The sequence below is a fragment of the Homo sapiens genome, chromosome 7, assembly GCF_000001405.40.
Source record: "Homo sapiens chromosome 7, GRCh38.p14 Primary Assembly".
Classification (NCBI taxonomy): domain Eukaryota; kingdom Metazoa; phylum Chordata; class Mammalia; order Primates; family Hominidae; genus Homo; species Homo sapiens.
Window position 1 is genome coordinate 31,798,115 of NC_000007.14, and position 20,944 is coordinate 31,819,058.

At 37.0% G+C, this 20,944-nt stretch overlaps 1 protein-coding gene across 27 annotated transcripts in view, besides 1 other annotated feature; it reads right to left on the reverse strand.

The window, feature by feature from the left end:
• Window positions 1-20,944, reverse strand: part of PDE1C (phosphodiesterase 1C) — an 811,448-nt gene that overhangs the window by 181,338 nt on the left and 609,166 nt on the right. For 26 of the 27 annotated variants that reach the window (XR_001744802.1, XR_001744803.1, XR_007060044.1 and 23 more), the window contains 2 exon segments: window positions 17,810-18,040; window positions 10,917-10,994 (listed from right to left, as the gene is read on the reverse strand). Coding sequence is in view for 21 of the 27 variants with exons in the window: in XM_047420443.1 (XP_047276399.1) it covers window positions 10,917-10,994; window positions 17,810-18,040 (309 nt within the window). In the remaining 6 variants the exon portion in view is untranslated. 27 annotated transcript variants of the gene reach the window in all.
• Window positions 13,746-13,845: an enhancer, noted in NCBI's record as "active region_25824". NCBI's record gives its function as "activates an Ori minimal core promoter by ATAC-STARR-seq in GM12878 lymphoblastoid cells {active_cell/tissue: GM12878}" and the evidence as "EXISTENCE:reporter gene assay evidence [ECO:0000049][PMID:35858748]".

Genomic DNA, 20,944 nt, shown 5'->3' on the forward strand with positions numbered 1-20,944 from the left:
AGTTTTCCTTCAAGAAGAAACCACCAACTGGCCAGTTGACATGAGGATCCCAGCATATGTGGAGTATATATTTCACATTGTACATCAGTAAACTGTCAGTCAAAACTACGCACTGGTCACAAGTATTCATTTCAGTGTCAACAAATCCTCTCCAGCATAATCAACTCTTCCTTTACTGTCAATATGGAATTCCTTGTTCTGCCATTGTGTAGAGCTCTTCTAGCTAATCAGCAGCCTCTCTTTCTAATCATCACATATCCCGAGCTCCCAGATGAAGGAATTTTGTGTTTCCCAAATGAGACCATTCTTATATAAAGAACAAAATGATGAATGGCAAAGTAAATTTCACTAAAAAGTCCTATGTCAAGAATTCTCAAAATGCCAAACATTTTCTATGACTTATGTGTAGTGACGCAACATAAACTAGAGTAGAAGTCTGAACAAAAATGGTCACTAAGACCACCATCCTCTAAGAATGGTAAATCCATTAGAATTTGGTCAAAAATCATATCAACAGTTCCTTAGAAACAAATAGATCTTTCAGAAATTGAGAAAAATATTAAAGGAATTACAAAATTCTCCATAACATCTTCTATATCAAGGGGGTATAAGATTCATTCAAATATGAGTGTGCTGAAGACAAGTAAGTGTGTTCAAGTGTTGCTATGGCTCTGCATGGACCAATGCATAGCCAGTGTCAACTACAAGTGATAACACGAAGCCCTGTGGGAAGAAATAGCAGAGATTGGAAAACTAAGGTGATAAAATGAAACATCAACCAAAAGAAAGGTTTTGAGGTGTCTAAAATAGGGCAGTTCTTTATTCTGGCATATAAAGACAATCCAAAACTATCGTCCTAAGTAGTATGGGGACATTTTTTTTTTGGAAGAAAGAATAACGTGAGTATGATTCCTTGAGATGAGAAAACTGGAATACAGGTGTCCATGCCAGTAAGAAAACTGATAATGCCCTCAGGGTCCGTATAACCAGTGAATGCACACCTGCTGAATAAAGGTCATGTGACAAAGCATTTATTGTTTCTCAAATCTCTGGAAATGAACCTAAGACAGAAACAATCTCTAGTAAAGACATACATGTGTCAGTTCTACCCACAGCCTGCTGTTTGACTCTTTTCTCCCCAGATCTGCAAAGCAGGGCATACCTCCACATCTGTACAGGCCCCTCCTATCTTTCACTACCAGCTTCATTGAAGAGCAGGTCATGATGCCTCACCCTATAGGCAACTAACATTTTTCAAAATATGAACATGATGAAAATTAAATACCACTCAAGTGTAAAGTTGTATTCTTCTGCTGTTTTCATTAATGGCTTGGCAAATCAATTCAAATAGAACAAAAGATGCCTTAAAAGCTCAGAGTCATCCATTCCAAATTCATTTATGTACTCCATTTCAAACTAACTTGTTAGGAATCATCTATTTTTTAAAAAATTAAAAAAGAAAAAAACAGAAAAAACACATACATTTCTTCAGGTGACCACTGTGAGCCATGTAGCAAGTCAAGGTCATGAGACAACAGCCTTGTGAAGAATTATATAATGTAGATATGATTAGAGGCAAATTCCTATAATGTACGCAATAACCCTTTTGATCACAGTTATTTGTTCTATGCAAACTAACAAGAATACTGGCTACCCTGCCTCCTCCATTTTTTCTGTACTAAGATTCTAAATAGGAGAATATGATTATCTTGAGAAATATTCAGAAAGAATGGTTGTAAGAAATACAATTTCCTCATTGAGAAAACAAACTGACAAAGCTGTGTCCTGACAGCCACAGTGAAATGCAGAGCTAAGAAATTATTATGTGGATGTAATATACATATCCCCTCATACAAGCTTTGTTTTATCTTAATATGGTTTTAAATTTGGCTTTTAATTTTCACATCCTTAATGATGTCAAGGATCTTTTAATGTGCTTATTTGCTAGTTGTATATCTTCTCTAGTGAAAAGTTTGTTCAATTTTTTGTATGTTTTTAATTGGGTCGTTTTCTTATTATTTAATACTGAGTATCTATATTTAATGAATATCAGTTATTTAACAAATATATGTTTTGCAAATATCCCCCCAGAATGTGAACTGCCTTTTTATTCTCCTAATAGAGGCTTTTGATAAAGCATAATTTATCAATTTGTTTTTTATGGTTTGTACTTTTGTGGTCATGCCTAATAAATCTTTGCTTAACCCAAGATCAAAAAGAGTTTCTCTTATATTTTCTTAACTAGAAACTGATAGTTTTACATTTTACATTTAGCTTTATGATAAATTTTGAGATGTCGCTTGTATGTGATGTATAGTTAGAAATTCCTTATTTTGCATATGACATTTCAAGCAGTCATCATCATTTGTTGATGACTATCATTTTCCCTTGGAATTGTCTTTGCCCTTTATTAAAAATAAATAGTCCATACACATGTAGATCTATTTTTGGAGTATCTAAGCTATTCTGTTGATCTGTTGGTCTGTGTTGATGCCAATACCATGCTGCCTTAGTTACCATAGCTTTATAGTAAGTCTTGAAATCAAACCTTCTCTGTAGTCCTCCAACTTTTTCCTTTTTCAAAGTTGCTTTGTCTATTCTGGATGTTTTGTATTTCCATATGAATTTTAGAATCAGCTTGTCAATTTCTACCAAAAAAAAGCATACTAGGATTTTAATTGAGATTGTATTGAACCTATAGATCAACATGGGAAGAATTTACATGTCACCTGTCTCTGGAAAATCCCCAAATATTTGGAAATTAAACATTACACTTCTAAATAACTCTTAGGTCAATGTAGATACCAAATGGAAATTAGAAAGTATTTTGAGCTGAATGTGAATGAAAATGCAGCATATCAGAGTTTGGATCATGATGCTAAAGCAGTACTTAAGAAAATCTACACCACTAAATGCCTACATTAAAAAAGAAAAAAAAATCTCAAATCGGTAACCATGACTTTCACCTTAAGAAACTATGAGACAAAGTAAACCCAATAGCAAGCAGAAGAAAGGAAATAATAAAGATGGATATTAATAAAATAGAAAACAGAAAAACAATAGAAAATATTAATGGTGATGATTAATAAAATATATTAACCTTTAGCCATGCAGATCAGGGAAAAAGAGAGAAAACACAAACTACGCATATAAAAAATGAGAGTGATAACATTATTAAAAATTCTACAGATATTAAAAGAATAATAACATAATACAAACATCCTTTCAATTTAATTCTATCATGGTCCATGAACATATTTGTTTGCCTTGAATCCTTTTGAATTTATTGGGACTAATTTATTCTCCCAGAATATAGTCTATCTTTTTAAATATTCTGTATGCACTTGAAAAAGATGTGTATTCTTCTATGGTTGGGTATTCTAGGAATGCCAATTATGTCAAGTTGATTGACAGTGTTGTAGAAGTCTTTGTTTCCTTGCTGATTTTCATATCTACTTAGTCTATTAATTATTGAGAAAGAGATAATAATGTCTCCAAATAAATTGTGAATTAAAAATGTTTTTGTAGTTTGTTTCAAGTATTTGGTGCATAAATGTAAAAAATGATTATATTCTCTTGATAAACAGACAACATTATCATTATGAAATGAACTTCTTTATTGCTGAAACTTCTTTATTCCTGTCTTTGTTCTGATATCTACTGTCATATATTAATATAGCCACCAGGCTTTCTTTTGATTAGTGTTAAGACAGTATACCAATTTAAAACCTTTTACTTTTGTGCTGTTTGTGTCCTTTTTTGATTGTTTTTGTTTTTATTTGTATATGTTTATGCGATACAAGTGTAATTTTGTTGCATTAATATGTTTAATAGTGGTGAAGTCAGGAATTTTATATTTGTGTCTTTTTGTATAAAGGCATAATATATTTGAATATTACAATCTCACAATCTCTGCCTTTTAATTAAGGCACTTAAGTCATTTATATTTAACGTGATAACTGATTTGCTTTGTTTTAATTCTGTGATCTTCCTATTTGTTTTCTATTTGTCTCACCTGTTCTTTGTTCCCTTCTTACTCTTTTTCTACCTTGTTCTGGATTAATTATTTTATGATTTCATTTTATCTGTTGCTGGCTAATCAGCTATATATCTTTGTTTTGTTGTTTTAGTGATTGCTTTAGAGTTTATAATATATATGCTCTTAATTTACCTCAATCCTCCAATGATTTTATAACACCTCATGCATGATACTGAACCTTACAATAGATATCCCATTTCTCCCCTACTGGACTTTTTGCTACTGTAGTCATATATTTCATTTTTGTATATGTTATAAAATAAACAGTACATTTATATTATTTTGTTTACCTAGTCAATTATCATTAACATAAATTAGAAAAATCGTATATATTTACCTATGTAGTTGCCATTTTTAATGCTTTTCATTCTTTTGTACAGATCTATATTTTCATACGGCATAATTATCCTTCACCTTTCCTTAAAATTTCTTGCATGGTGCGTCTACTGGTGATGAATTCATTAAGTTTTTGTATGTCTGATGAAAACATCTTAATCACATCTTGGTTTCTGAAAAATATTTTTGCTAGGCACAGAATTCTTTGTTGATTTTTTTTCCTTTCATTAATTAAAAAATTTAGCTCCACTGTCTTATTTGCATTGTTCCCCACAAGACATCTACTGTCATCCTTATGTTTGTTTGTCTGTACATATGTGTAATTTTTCTCTGGCAGTTTTTAAATTTTTCTCTTCATCACTGGTTTTGAGCAATCTGACTATAGTATGCTTTTGTGCAGTTTTCCTTATATTCCCTGTGCTTGAGATGTATTGAGCTTCTTGAATCTGTGGATTTATAGTTTTCATCATCTGACAAAATTATAGCCCCTGATTTTTCAAATATTTTTCCTCCTCTCTCCTCTACCTGGGGATTCCAAGTACACATTTATTAGGCTATTTGAAGGTGTCCTACAATTCTGTTTTTATTCTTTTTTTCTATTTCCTTTTGGGTAGTTTCTATTGCTATCGTTTTGCTACTCTTTTCCTCTCCGAAGTCTAATTCCATCCAGTGTACTCACCATTAATCTCATCTAATGTTATTCTGTCAATACCATCAATCACATTTCTCATATCAGATATTGTAGTTTTCATATTTAGAAGTTTGATTTTAGTCTTTTAAAAAGATCTTCCATGTGTCTACTTCTGAACATATGGGCTACAGTTATAAGAACTGCTTTTATGTATTTGTCTGCTAATTCTAACATCTGTTTCAGTTCTGCATTGGTTTCAATTGGTTGGGCTTTTTCTTTTTATTATTATTATTATTATTATACTTTAAGTTTTAGGGTACATGTGCACAACGTGCAGGTTTGTTACATATGTATACCTGTGCCATGTTGGTGTGCTGCACCCATTAACTCGTCGTTTAGCATTAGGTATATCTCCTAATGCTATCCCTCCCCCAACCCCACAACAGTCCCCGGTGTGTGATGTTCCCCTTCCTGTGTCCATGTGTTCTCATTGTTCAATTCCCACCTATGAGTGAGAACATGCGGTGTTTCATTTTTTGTCCTTGCGACAGTTTGCTGAGAATGATGGTTTCCAGTTTCATCCATGTCCCTACAAAGGACATGAACGCATCATTTTTTATGGCTGCATAGTATTCCATGGTGTATATGTGCCACATTTTCTTAATTCAGTCTATCGTTGTTGGACATTTAGGTTGGTTCCAAGTCTTTGCTATTGTGAATAGTGCTGCTATAAACATTCGTGAGCGTGTGTCTTTATAGCAGCATGATTTATAATCCTTTGGGTATATACCCAGTAATGGGATGGCTGGGTCAAATGGTATTTCTAGTTCTAGCTCCCTAAGGAATTGCCACACTGACTTCCACAATGGTTGAGCTAGTTTACAGTCTGGTTGGGCTTTTTCTTTATTGTGGGTAGTGTTTTCTTGCTGCATTGCATGCCTGGTAATTTTTTATTGGATGCCAAACATTGTGAATTTCACCTTGTTGGGTGCTGGATATTTTTGTACTCTATGTATATCCTTGAGCTTTATTCTGGGATGCAGTTAAATTACTTTGAGACATTTTGATCCCTTTTATGTCTTGCTTTTAAGATTGTTAGATAGAACCAGAGCAGCATATAGGCTACAGCTTATTATTCCCCATGACTAAAGCAAGACAAATATGAGTCTTTTACCTAATTTTCTTTAAATAATGAGATATATAAATCTGGCTAGTGGGAATAGGCACTTTTCCCTGACTTGTGTGAGCATCAGGACTGTTCCCTCTAATCCTCTTGGATGGTTCTGTTCTGGCCTCAGGTAGTTTCCTCATTGCATGGGTTGCTCAGTGTAGTAGTTTCCCTTTACACACAGAGGATATTTTCTAAGACTCCCAGGGGATGTCTAAAACCTCAGATAGTGCTGAAACCTATATGTATTACACACACATTTCTTTTTTCTTCTTCACAATTGCATTGATAGAAGATTTCATTCTTAGCATAGATCTTAGCAGCCTCAGTATAATTTTTTTTCTTTCTTTATTAAGTCAAGAACTTTCGTCTTTTTACTTAAAAGAAGTACTTTGTGGCTTCTCTTTGGCATATGTGAATTGCCAACATCTCCATTCTTTTGCTTTGGAACCATTGTTAAGTAATATAAAGGTACTTAATTGCAAGCACTGTGATACTTCAACAGTCAATCTGATAAACGAGGTGGCTATTAAGTGACAGGTGGGTAGTAAGTAGAACCAGTACAGTGCGGATAATGCTGGACAAAGAGATGATTCACATCCTAGGTGGAATAGAGCAGTGATATGGTTGGCTGTGTCCCCACCCAAATCTCATCTTGAATCATAGATCCCATAACCCCCATGTGTCATGGGAGGGACCCTCGGGGAGGTAATTGCATTATGGGGATGAGTTTTTCTCATGATAGTAAATAAGTCTCACGAGATGTGATGATTTTATAATGGGCAGTTCCCCTGCACACACTTTCTTGTCTGCCACCACGTAAGATGTGCCTTTGCTCCTCCTTTGCCTTCCACCATGACTATGAGGCCTCCTCAACCATGTGGAACTGTGAGTCCATTAAACTTCTCTTTCCTTTATAAATTACCCAGTTTGGGGTATGTCTTTATTAGCGGCCTGAGGACAGACTAATACAAGCAGGATGGCATGAGATTTCATCACATTCTCAGAATGGTGTGCAATTTAAAACTTATAATTGTTGATTTCTGGAATTTTCCACTTAATATTTTCAGACCACAGTTGGCTATGGGTAATTAAAACCACAGAAAGTGAAACTGACAATAAGGGAGTACTATTGTACTCTTATATTCTTCAGACCTCTAGAGTTTATCTCTCTGTAATCCTCTTCTCTCCAGTATTTTATTCTGTTAACTAAAGCCATCTTGGTCTTCCTGGATTTTTATTCAACTTCTCAACTCAGAGAGTCACTGAGATGTGCCTATGTCACTCCTCTCTATGCTGTCTGGAAGTACTCTCAATGGCTATGGGTAATTGAAACCACAGAAAGTGAAACTGCTAGTAAGGGAGTACTACTGTACTCTTATATTCTTCAGAACTCTAGAGTTTATCTCTCTGTAATCCTCTTCTCTCCAGTATTTTTCCTGTTAACTAAAGCCATCTTGGTCTTCTTGGATTTTTATCCAACTTCTTAACTCAGAGAGTCACTGAGACGTGCCTATGTCACTCCTCTCTATGCTGCCTGGAAGTCCTCTCAAGGCAGTAAGCTGAGACAATCGTAGGGCTCATTTCATTTATTTCCTGGCTCCCAAAGATCACTGTTCTCCATTTCCTGATGTCTGGTATCTTAAAAAGCACTCTTCCACATATGCTGTCTGGGGTTTTGGGTTGTTTCAGGTGGGAGGGTAAATCCAGTTCTTGTTACTTATCTTTGGCAAAAGAAGACATTCATAGACTGTCTTGCCGACCCTTTCCACTCTTCATAACTCACTTTTCAGTTTCATGAGACCATCCATAAACATTCCAGTTACCAGGATATTCAATAAAGGAGAAACTCCTGCTGAATTCCCTCCCTAAGACTTGGTTTATAACCACGCAGGGCCTAATCATAATCTGTTGTTTGAGAGGCACAAAAGATGGCTATCTCTTATTTCTCTGTTAATGTGATCAAGTAAAGTTAACGGCAAGTTTGTATTTCTGGATAGCTATAATAAATTATGGCAAGTCCATGAGGCTATGTTATTACAAACATGACTAAAAATGCACTGAAAAGAGTATATTTGTGTGGTAACCCACAAATCTTCCGATGCCAATGGAAAAGTTTAAAGATGATTAGAATCTTGGCTCAGAGACCTGGATCTTTTTATGTCAATACATTTCTCCCTAGGGGTAAGTAAGGTACTTTCAAAGGACATCCATTCTTTGAAGTCAGTTAGAAAATTACTGCTGCAAGGTATGAAATAGTACTGCAGTAGACTTACAGAGATAATGTACAGCTGCAATGTGTTCATTATGCCAGGATGTAATTTACCTTTCAGCACATACTACTTCCCCCTGTGCATGCCCTGGCTCATGGGAGTTTGGGAATAGCCAACTGTGATTCAGTTTCCACTGGGTTTCTCTCTCAATGTTCACATTGGGCATGAATTGTACCCAGATACTCCCTCTCAAATATTAAAGAGAACTAGTCACCAATGGTTCCCAGGGATTGGTCTAGGGGTAGGGACATTAAAAATTGTTAAATTGACTCCCACTCATTACCTGACATAATAGGATCCAAAAAGAAATGTTCAAAAATGTATCCAGTTTTTTCTACATAGTTTTAAAAACAATCAATATATCTCCTGATCTACATATTTCCTTTTTAAATTTTTCTGAAGTAGAGAGCTTTAATGACCAAAAAGAAAAGGATAGGTGGGACTCATCAAATTGCTTTCCACTTCCTGCCACCAAGAATTAGCTTTAGTCCTGTTAAAGGTTTTGGACTAAAATAGTGCAAGTCACTGAAGCTCAATGCTCTAAGTTCTATTGATACCAAAGCAGTAATGATGTCATATTAGTCCATCAATGAATATAAAATGCAAAGTTGTTCATGATTATGTTTGTGTGCAAACTTCCAAGTATACAGACACACCAGGACCTACTTGAGGAAGTGGAAGAACAGGCTATGGAGGGAAACAGAGACAGACATTAAAAAATGTCTCTTTTATTTATAGCAGTCTGCTTACTGCCCCATGAGATCCAGAATCCTGCTCATTAAACAATCAAACTTTACACTTATTTGCACAATAGAACATAAAATCTATTTTATCACTTCCCCCCTCCCCCCAAAAAAACCTGTTTAATTCTTTTAAATACTTGGGTATGATTCAGTTACAAAGGGCGCAGTTAAAAAGGCTTTATGAAGGTGATAAAATATAATCCACAATGCCCACATGACATCATTATAGCAGATGTTTGTACCACAATATACAAATGCAACAAGATTCAAAATGGCATACGAAAAATTTGGGACTTGATTTATTCTGGGCTTTTATGCTATAGAAATTTAACAGGAAGCTGTGGGCCAATAGTTGGATACAGGATGGAGAAAGTGTCTGGGTTCTGGGTTTGAAGTTGACAGCGTTCCTCCACTGTACATTTTCTGGCTTTGGTTGCCTTGATTTGGTATTGATGGCTGGCAAAGAGCCTCTGGTATTTAAACAAACCTTACCTATAATAGAGTCTGGCTCAGAGACTGTCATTCTAAATTCTATTTTGTTCTGTGTAATTTACTTCTTAGTCACAATTATTCAAGAAGGGTACACTCATTAGGTAAGTGATTTCCATTTGCATAAGCACATTGGTAAAAAAAAAAAAATTGCAGGTATGTGTTCCCCAGGTATTATGTAATAAGACACCTGGAGTTAATTATTTGCATTGTCTTTTTAGAAAAAGTTTGAGAACGGTTTTCATGCATGCAAGCAAAGACAGCATGTCATAACAGCTTAGGGCTGAAAGCTAAAGGGGCTGCTTCCTTTATAATAGATGTGCAAAGAATTACGTTCCAATTTATTCTTACTCTTCCACCTGGTTACCCAGCATTTGTTCTTCAAAGGTATTCTAACCAAATGATTCAAAGAAGAGTTTAGCATCAAATATGATGTCTCCAGGGAGGTATGATTTAGAGAGTCTGGGATTCTCTCAAAAACCACTCCGTGGAAACTTTAATTTTTAGCTTAATATGATGTCTGTGTATGAGGGGATAACTAGTAATGAACCTGTGTGATAGCTGAAACAATGAAGTTTATGTAAAAGGCCAGGGCAGGTGTTTCAATCTTATAGTTCAAAGTGTGAAGGGTAATATAATTTGAACTTTCAGGTTTTAGAAACAGTAAAATGTTGTTAATCTTGCGTTTTGCATTGTCATTGCCTTTAGGACTTGTTCTTGCTGGCAAAACTGTATTTTACAACCATATATGCTGCCTCCCAACATTAGCACTATAAAGACCCCTGTTTTTGTTTTTGTTTTAAACAAAAATAAGAACTAGTTCAAGGAAAAAAAACATGAAAACATAAAACATGGAACATTTCTTATTTATGCTGCATGATTCCCCATCAAAAAACTTATAAATACATTAGCAGTATATGATACTCCATTCTAGCTGTCTGATCAGCAAGTCTAAAATAAACTTTTTATGATGTTTAAGATGAAAAATGGCAAGTAGGAAAAGAAAGGGTATAGAAAACATTTGTGATGGAGAAAGTGGGGTGAAGGGGAAGAGATACAGCAATAATTTATAAATTATTGATAAAGGGATAATAGTACCCTTTAAATATAGTGAAGGGTTTTTTTCAGGATATAAGAATATATTCACAACCACTATTTCAATTTTGGGTATGATTCTAACAAGCTTACATTAAACTGCACATTTTATGGAAAAATGTAATGAGAATAATACTCTTACCATCTGTTTTCTTTGAATCATTTCCGATGTTAGAGTGATCCTTCTTGTCTGTCTTATTTTTACCATCTTTGAAGTCACCTGAAAGTAATAAACATGACAAACAGTATATGTATGCAGCTGAGGGGGTTGTTATAAACATCTTTAAGTCTGCCAAGTTTTGAAAAAGTGCAGCATAATTTTATAGTCATAAGAGTGTATGTGTCTGAGTGTAAATATCTTTTGTAATCACGTTAGGTCCTGGAAATTGGATTGTGATGCAGAAATTGAGGCTGAAAGTTCTTGTTAAACAGAGTTGTAGTTAAGTTATGTGCTTATCTTCTAAGAGAAGCAGTTAAGATTTACTGTTAAGCTGTGGAGTGAGGAGAAACCCGAGCTAACTGTAAGTTCTACCAATTAATAGCTATTTAACTTCTCTGTGCTTCAGTTTTCCTATCTGTAAAATGGGTATGTTAATACCTACCTTATAGGCATTTTGGATAAATTAGAAGGCATATCACTCAATACAGTTATTATTATTCTAAAACAGAGCTAGAAATGGTATTTTAATAAATGATCTTGTCAAAATGTAGTTTGTAAAAGTTGTAAAATGCTATTCTTAGAACACGTGTCAAAAATGTATTTAACCCACTTATGAGGGAATAGTAAGAGGATTCCAAGAGTACTGGAGCTGGGTATTGACAGGTATTTTAGAAACACGTGAAAATATATTTGCTAAGTTAGAGACAAAACTGGGTATATCCTACAGGGCAATAAAACCATAACGTTTGGGGTTATCTTCTCTCTCAGTCAAAAATCTATAAATTAGCATATAACTTCACAGTACCTAGGCTTGAATCAAATAGTAAGTAAAGTTAAACACAGTCATGTTCTTCAAGAGTAGCATTCAGCAAATTAAGGCCCCTGGGTCAATGGTGCCCACCATCGATTATGGCAAATACATTTTCTTGAAACATGGCCACACTTACTCATTTACCTATTGTCCTTGGCTGCTCTCATGCTGCAACAGCTGAGCTGAATAGTTGCAAAGAGACAGGCAAAGCCAGAAATATTTTCTCTCTGGTTCTTTACAGTATAACAGTGCTGCATCCCTATCTAAAATAATTTAATAATCCCTGGGCATGTGTGTTCAACAATATGCCAGTATTACATGAAAAGGTCAGGGGCCTCTTCACCCAGCCTTATTTTCAAGTGTTGGATATTTTCTTACCAGTCTTACTAATGGAAGCTTTCTTTTTAGCCTGCATAAAACCAAGAACACATTCTCACTCAAATACTGGTACTTATTGAAGCCAAAAGATCCCAATAATAATTGGAGTGAGCTGGGCCTCCAGGGAATGTGTATGAGGGACAGGATTTACTCTTGTTTACTTTATTTGTGCCAGGCAGTATGCTAAATGCTTTGCATGCATCATTTTATTAAATCTTCTAATAGCCCCATTATGAAGGGGCTACTATTATTGAAAGTAGACAACTTCATCAAAGATTCATTCACTAAATGTCCAATTTGTAAAATTTGCTGAATATCCCACTCACCAAATGATTGAGGATGTTTTCCAAATTTAAGTTTTTTTCTTGAGGTTCCTGCAGCCAGTTAGACAAACACAGGCCATTCCATCTATGTTAAGGGGTATGGACTGCCCACACATACATTTCATACCCCACCCTGAACTCACATCTGCCACAACCATGCACCTGGATCTCCCTCTTGGCATAACTGCCAAGCCCTCAACTATAGTATTTGCAACTTCTCTATGAAGTTCAAGTTTTAGATTTCAGACTTCTGTTTACTATTTCCATTTCTAAATGCCTTTGGCCTATGAATTTATAAAGAACTGATTATCTAAGCATGATTCAGGACTATTGGGGGCTGTAATATATTCTACAAACCACATACTTGCAATGGAATTTGACAAATACTAAGCTAAGCTAGAAGTCAATAAACTCTTCAGGTTCCCTCTCATTCTTAATTCTGAAATGGGATGGACCGTGATATGGTTTGGCTGTGTCCCCACCAAAATCTCATCTTTAATTTTACCTCCCATAATTCCCATGTGTTGTGGGAGGAACCCAGTGGAAGAGAATTGAATCATGGGGGCAGTTTCCCCCATACTGTTCTTGTGGTAATGAATAAGTCTCACGAGGTCTGGTGGCTTCATAAGGAAAAACCGCTTTTGCTTGGTTCTCATTCTTTCTTGCCACCACCATGTAAGATGTGCCTTTCACCTTCCACCATGATTGTGAAGCCTCCCCAGCCACGTGGAACTGTGAGTCCATTAAGCTTCTTTTCCTTTATAAATGACCCAGTCTTGGGTATGTCTTTATCAGCAGTGTGAAAACAGACTAATACACACTAGGTGGAAGAATTGAGGAGCAGGGGAGTCTACTCTGGCCAGGGTCCAAACAGGAGGATTTTAAGTGCAGGACATGGTCATCACCTCTTCCACCACCAAAAGAGAAGAAATCCTTCAGAGGTCCCACAAAACAGTCCAAATACTGGCTTTTCCCTATTTTAATGAAGCCAGAGATGGACTCAAGGATCTTGAGCACTGTAGTCAAACTAGTTCCTTCTAGTTCATTCTTCCCTCAATGAGCCCCCACACTCTTAATGCATGCTTTTTAAGCCCTCTAGGTTGCTCTGAACTGGAGCTTTACCCACAGCTACAGCAACACCAGGATGTCTTCTGGAAGTCGTGGAGATGGTTCCCTTTGCTGGTTGCTAACCAGCAGCCCATGATGGTTCCTGTTCTCAGCCAGGGATGGGGAGGCTGTGGGAGGAAGTCATCTCAACAGAGGGCAAAGATTAGAAGATCCTGTCACTGCCAGTGGGTGCCCAAACCTTGAAAACCCCTCCTTCACCAACAACCTTCAGCTCTAACTTGGAAGATATCCTGGGCACTCCACAAAGAAGGGGGCTGGGACAGTGACACATGCTTGTTTGATGATGTTGCCTGAGCAAAATCCATTAAGTAATTTCCCATGGGTTGTATCTGGAGTAATGGCTGACGTGAGCTGTTACTCAATAAACAAGGGGAAGTGAAAGAGACTTTCTGTGCAGTTATAAATCATTTTAATTAGGCTGCTGTAATATAGTCCCGAACCACCATTAGGCTTTCTTATTATTGCTCTAAACTGCTTTCTTTTCCCACCTCTCATTTACTGCTTACTTTTTAAGGGAAATGGTAGACTGTTGCTTATTTCAGGAAATAAGCACAGTTGTGAAATCAAGCCAGCCTTGTTGAAGACTCAGGTTCCTGTTTTGTTTCTTTCAGGCTTTCCCCTTAACCAACTTCAAAATGAATTATTATTTCCACATCTGCCCTCTCTGGGTCTTTGTTTCCCTATGGTAGAATTCATATCCTTCTTTGTGACTAGCTTATTTGCATTTATTGGTTTCTCCCACTGACTAGACCTGGGGTTGGCAAACTATGGCCCATGGGTCAAACCTGGCCCTACTGCCTGGTTTTTCATGACCCACAAACTAAGAATGGCTTTTACATTTTTAAATGGTTAAAAGAAGACAAATATTTTATGACATATGATATTATGTAGAATTCAAATTTTAATTTCTATAAATAAAGTTTTATTGGAAAACAGGATAACTCATTTGTTTGTATATTATCTGTGGCTGCTTTAAAATGGCAATGTTGAGTAGTTGCAATAGAGACCTTATGTTCTGCAAAGCCTAAAATATTTACTATCTTGTCCCTTATAGAAAAAGCATGCCAATCCCTGGAATAAGTATATTGTAAGCCTCTTATAAACAGCAGTTAAGTTTCCATATTTCTCTGATGGCCCCTCTCCCTGAAGGCACCAAACCACAGGGACAAGCTGTTTACCTAACAGAGCATTGAGACTCACACAGATCAGAGTTTAACCTGAGATCTCTACTTAATGGTTGCTTGACTTTACACAAGTGATTTCACTTCTCTGAGACTCAGTATTCCCACCCACAACATGGGAATGAGTTTTTCTACCTCATAGAATTGTTAGAACTTTTACATGATTTAATGTAGATAGAATCTCAAGTACAATGTCTGATACATGTTAAGCATTCAATAAAATGGTGGTATTATTGTTATTGCTTTTACTAAGGGCAAGACATTTCTAACCCACTCTGTTAAAAGAAAAAGCAGAGGGAAGAAACACACCTTGCCTTTCTCACCACCCCTTACATGTTCCTCTTTTGAGAGGAGTGATTATTTATCTGGGAGGTAGGGTTGAGCATGCACAGCCCGGCCCAGCCACCCACATCCCAGACTGCTTTGAGATATGTTTTCTGTAAGACACACACCTTTTCTGTCACTCTAGAAGCAGCCTGCCAGGGTGCTGGGGTGGGGGAAAAGTCCTGTGCCTGGCTATACAGTGTCTGGTTGTGTAAATTCATTTCAGAGCAAAATGTAAAGAAGCCCATGTATTCAGCAGACCAACTCTGTGTTTCCCAAGTTCCAGTTTTAGTGGAGCTGATGTCTTGATCATTGACTTTCTGATTTTGTTACCTATCTCTCAGTTGGTTCAGTCCTCAGAAGGGGTAGCAAGGAGGGGCCTGTACTGCCCTCTAAAACAGTAACAGGTACATAATAAATTTTTGTTTTAAAAAATTTTTGTATGAACATATGTTTTTATTTTTTTTAATTTTTATTTCCATAGGTTTTTGGGGAAAAGATGGTGTTTGGTTATATAAGTAAGTTATTTAGTGGTGATTTGTGAGATTTTGGTATAGCCATCACCTGAGCGGTATACGCTGAACCCAATTTGTAGTCTTTTATCCCTCACACCCCTCCCACCCTTTCCCCTGAGTCCCCAAAGTCCACTGTATCATTCTTATATTTTTGCATCCTCATAGCTTAGTTCCCACTTATGTGTGAGAATATACAATGTTTGGTTTTCCATTCCTGAGTTAATTCACTTAGAATAATGGTCTCCAATTCCATCCAGGTTGCTGCAAATGCCATTATTTCATTCCTTTTTATGGCTGAATAGTATTCCATCGTGTGTGTGTGTGTGTGTGTATACATATATATGTACACACACGCACGCGTGCATATATATGTACACACACACACACACACACATATATCACAATTTCTTTATCCATTCATGGATTGATGGGCATTTGGGCTGGTTGCATATTTTTGCAATAGTGAATTGTGCTGCTATAAACATGTATGTGCAAGTATCTTTTTCATATGACTTCTTTTCCTCTGGGTAGATACCCAGGAGTGGGATTGCTGGATCAAATGGTAGTTTGGGTACATGAAAAATTCTTATTAAATTCTTTATAACTTTTTTTTCCAGACTATAATGCACTTGAATACAAAGCAAATGAATTAAGAGCAATCTCCAGAAGGGGGCAGGACGAGTCGGGACAATGGCCTTCTGTGCCTCCTAGGGTGGTCACCAGGATTAACTGAAGTAATTTTTGCAAGGTTCCTGGAATATGATATAAGCTATCATTATTATTACATGTGTTAAAATATTGTTCTCTGATTACATGTTATAAATGGTTAATTATAAAAATAATTGGAGAACATCGTGCTAAGCACTTTCTACATGTAGAAATCATTGACCACGGCCCTGTGGCATAATAGCTAGAACACGGTTCTGAGTAGATTACCTGGTCGCACCAGGCAGGCAAGAGAATGAATATGTACAAAGAGAACTTAAAACAGCATCTAGTGTGCAGTCAATACATGCTATTTGTTGTTATTCTCTTCACTGTTTTTACTATCATGAGTATTACTGAAGGTTCCATGAGGCCTGTGCTGTGAATAGGTATTACTATATACATTGTGTAGAAACAGTAGAAGGTTAAGTAGCCTGGCCAAGGACACTGAAAAGGGAGAAGCACAGCTTGACTTGAATCTAGGTCTGTTGACTGCTAAATTACCTTGCTATTCAGCCACAACCTGTCAATTGCAAGCTCTGGAGACTCAGAACTTCCTGCCTGCCCCTAAACAAGGAAACCAAATCAAAGCCCTGTGTACTTGCTCATCTTGTTCTCTCCACTCAGAAGTATCTTTAGCCCATCTGACCAGCCAGCTTCAGCATTCAAAACCCCCTCTTGAAGCCTACTCTGACATTTACCCCATTTTATAATCCCCAGTCCCCAAAAAGCTAATGTGTTTTTCTCTGCACATGTTCCTCGGGCATTTTATCTGCCATGTCACTACTTTCACTTGCACATTTCACTAGAAATATTTGGAGGATGTCTCTATCACCTTTGATATTTTGGGCTTCTTGTGGCCTTTCCATTTCTAAATCCCTAGTGCTAAGCATGGTGCTTGGCACGTAGTTGTTAATCGATATTTGTTGCATTAAATATAAGAAATCAATAACTATATGCACACTATGGTGACCAGCTTACCCCAGTTTGCCTGGAGCTCTTCTGTTTTTAAAACAGAAAGCTCTGTGTCTCCCAGTCCCAGGTAAACTGAAACAGCTGGTCCCCCTAAAGTACACACTTGTACACACACAGATATACAGATATCTATTACAGGAAAAGGCTCAGGCAAACCTGAGGTCTGGCCCTCATAGAGCGATGGTATATATGGGAAAATGACTTTCCATTTACCCACTTTACACTCAGGAATGTGCTGGGGTTGATCATGGTAATTTTCCCCCAGCTGGCAGGCAGGCAGGCACTGGCTAGAGTCTCCAGGGCAGCTGGAAATGGCCAGAAAGGTATCAATCTCCCTGAAGAGGATGGCACAGGTGAGCTGGTAGCTGCTTCTGCTGGAATCCTGCAGCCCAATGAGGTGGGATCAGAAGGAACTGGATGAGCAGGGAAGCCTTGCCCTGTGAGCTGACCCCATCAGTAGGGTTGTTCACCAGTTTCCATTCATTATGTCATTAATGCCGCGAAAAGAGCCCTTCACCAGTGTAAGTCTACTCACCATTCTGTTGCTGTTCTCCTGATGACTTCTCGGCTTTGGAGTTTTTCCCACGAGGGTTGTCACTTTTGTTTGCCCGTGTTCCATTGACTTGATTCTTAGTTTCTCCAGACGTCTTTTTCTCAGCTTTGCCAGATGCGCCTTCTTCAGCCTGGCTTTTGGCTTCCATTTCCTTTTGCTGCTCCTCTGCGGCCAGGCGAGCCTTTTCCTCTGCTTCCTTCTTGGCCTTCTCCTCTGCATCCATGGCAAGTTGGGAAAGCCACAGAAAAGAGAAAAAGAGGTCATGCCGTTAGGAGAATGGCCTGTTTTAGTACACAAAGAGTATCTAAGGTGTTTACTGAGTGTTTGGGTACATTTTTGCTTAATTCATCAGATTGGCATGTATACTTAGGAAACGAATAAAATAGGTTCATAATGATGTCATTCTGAAAACAGTTAGAGGAGAGGTCAGGGAGAAAATAATAAGGATAATAATTAATAAACCAATATTATAATTGTATTATTAATATCACCGTTATTAATAGCTTCTATTGAACGTGTTCGCTCTGCCAAGTATTATGCTGAGTGTTTTTTGGGGATTATTTATTTTCATCCTCAAAACAACCTTACAGCAGCTACTATTACTGTGACTCAATTTGACAAATGTGGAAATCAAGGCTGAGAGACATCATAAAACTTTCCCATAGCCACAGTAAAAACTGCAGCTTCATGTGGGCTTGCTTAAGACCTAGAGTTTAAACACAAACAATTGATTACAAAACAAAAAGGGAAAATATCCAACACTAGAGCAATTGAAGACAAACACACTGAGGACACTGTTTGTTAATTTAAAACAAGGAAGGGGATAATTGAGCCTTATGAAAAAAACATGGTCTTCAAACTGTCCACAAGATGAGAGGTAGCCTTTAGTTTGGCCAGGTACCTGGTCTGTGTCTTTCCTTTTAATGAAAAGATGCTAGCATTATTTCTAATCCAGTTGATTATAAAAGGGCTTGGCTCTGTGCTTAGTCAAAACCACCGCAGAAATGCGTAGGTTAAGTATTTATGAAAAGATTGGTTCACTCATCCAACTCATATTTATTGAGCAGTTGTAGCGTTAAGCACTGTTTTAGGTACGAGGAATACAGCAGCAAGCAAGTGGATTTATAAAGAGGAGATCATAATTAAGTAAACAAATGACTAAGATACTTGCAGTTTATAAAAAGCGCTTTGCAGAAAACCAAGCAGAGTAATATGCTGGAATATAATCAGCATAGGGGAGGGAAATTGCAGTAGACAAGGAGGTGGAGAAGGAAGGCCTCCTTGACAAGGTGACATTTAACCAAGTCCTAAATGATGAAGAGCTGGCCATGCAATAATCTGGACAAATAGTATCTCAGTCAGAGGAACTAGAAAATGCAAAGGCCATGAGGTAGAAATGAGCTTGGTATGCTCAAAGAACATTGAGTATGGTTAAAGTAAATTTGACAAGGGCTTAGTGATAGATGACGTGGTCAAATGACCAAGGACAAGCAGGGTTCAGATCATGCAGGGCTTTGGAGGCAATGAGGTGGCATTGCATTATGGAGAATAACCTACACAGAAGACACATAACAGAGCCCAATCCTCCAAGGTTCTAGAGACTCATCCCATGCAGCGCTTAATTCACTGCCAAGGTCTTCTAGCCTGTGCCATCAACTTCCACTGGGAAAAGTATTATTACATTTTTCTCTACATGTGTTTTAAAATGCTCCACACATCATTATCAGGTGTTTACTTTATTTCTTTTGTGTTAGCCTTGGTCCTAGAAAAAAGCTAATGCTCATAAATAATCCATTTGTTTTTAATCTAATGGACACCAGAGTGACTATGCATCTATCATGTTTCCCTTTGTTTTAGTTGCTAAAGAGCTCAAAGCCCAAATTTGGTCCAGATTCACACGTTCACGAGGCTTTATGACATGTATTTTGTGAAAGTCTATGATATCTTGTTTAGTCTACTTCTCCTGACTTTATATTTGCTTACCTAAGATGTCTTCCTTAATATATTATGTTTTCATTCATTGATCCATCCATCCATCCAAACCAATGCCCTAGCCTCATCCCCAAACAAATTAAATAAGATTCTGGAGAAGGAGGGGCAAGAATAGGATAGTTTGAATGTTTTCCAGGTGATTTAAACATACAGAGTTGAGAAGCACTGATTTAAATGTTAAATGTTTGCCATTCAGTATTTCATGACATTCTACTCCCCAAAAGGATGTATTTGTAATTTACATTGAAAAGGTGAGGAAAGATTTCTTTACAAATAACATAATTATGTGCATGTAAAGTATAATGTCTTCTGGCCTTTATAGAAAGGTACAACTACAGAGTGAAAGAATGCTCTTGCAGAAGAAGATGGTGAGATGGCATTCTCAGTAGGATGCAGGACCACAAAAGGTTCCCTGGAATGTTCACTCAGGCTTTATCTCTTCCTTCTTCAGTGACTGAGGATGGGGTTTAAATGTCATCTTTGCTACTGAATTCCCAGTGCTTAGCATGGTGCCTGGTGCGTAGCACACACTCGAAGTATTTGTTGACTAAATGAAATGTACCCTACGGGTGTGATTTATCCTATATGCAAGTGTAACCTTATCTGTATGTATCTTCATCAGTCCTCAGCAAATTAAACAGGCATAAAATACAGAAAGTATATAAACTCTAAGTCTTATTCTGAAAGAGTAGTCATTTGACAAATGTTAGTTTCCTTAACCAATAACGTAGGTGAGTAAAAAGATGACTATTTTTACTACAGAGTGGGAAACTGAGGCAAGGAAGAGGAGAATTCATTCATACCCAGAACCTGGTATCAATTTTAGAAAATAATTTATAAGCCCCTCACAGAATCCCCACTGAATCCATGGCAAATTTTCAATATTCAAAATAACCCCAAGTTGGAAATAATTTTGATAAAAACTGAAGGTATTAAATGCTGGTTTGCTATAAGAGAGTATAAAATATTATCTGAGCAAGAGAAATTCATTTGACAACTGAGTCAGACCAATTTCCCATGGGAAATCTAGCTAAAAGCATACAAAAAACTGGTGGCGGGGGGTATATTTCAGAAACAAACCTGGTTTTTCCTCAACTGTAGCTATCGGGCAATTCAAGTTTACAT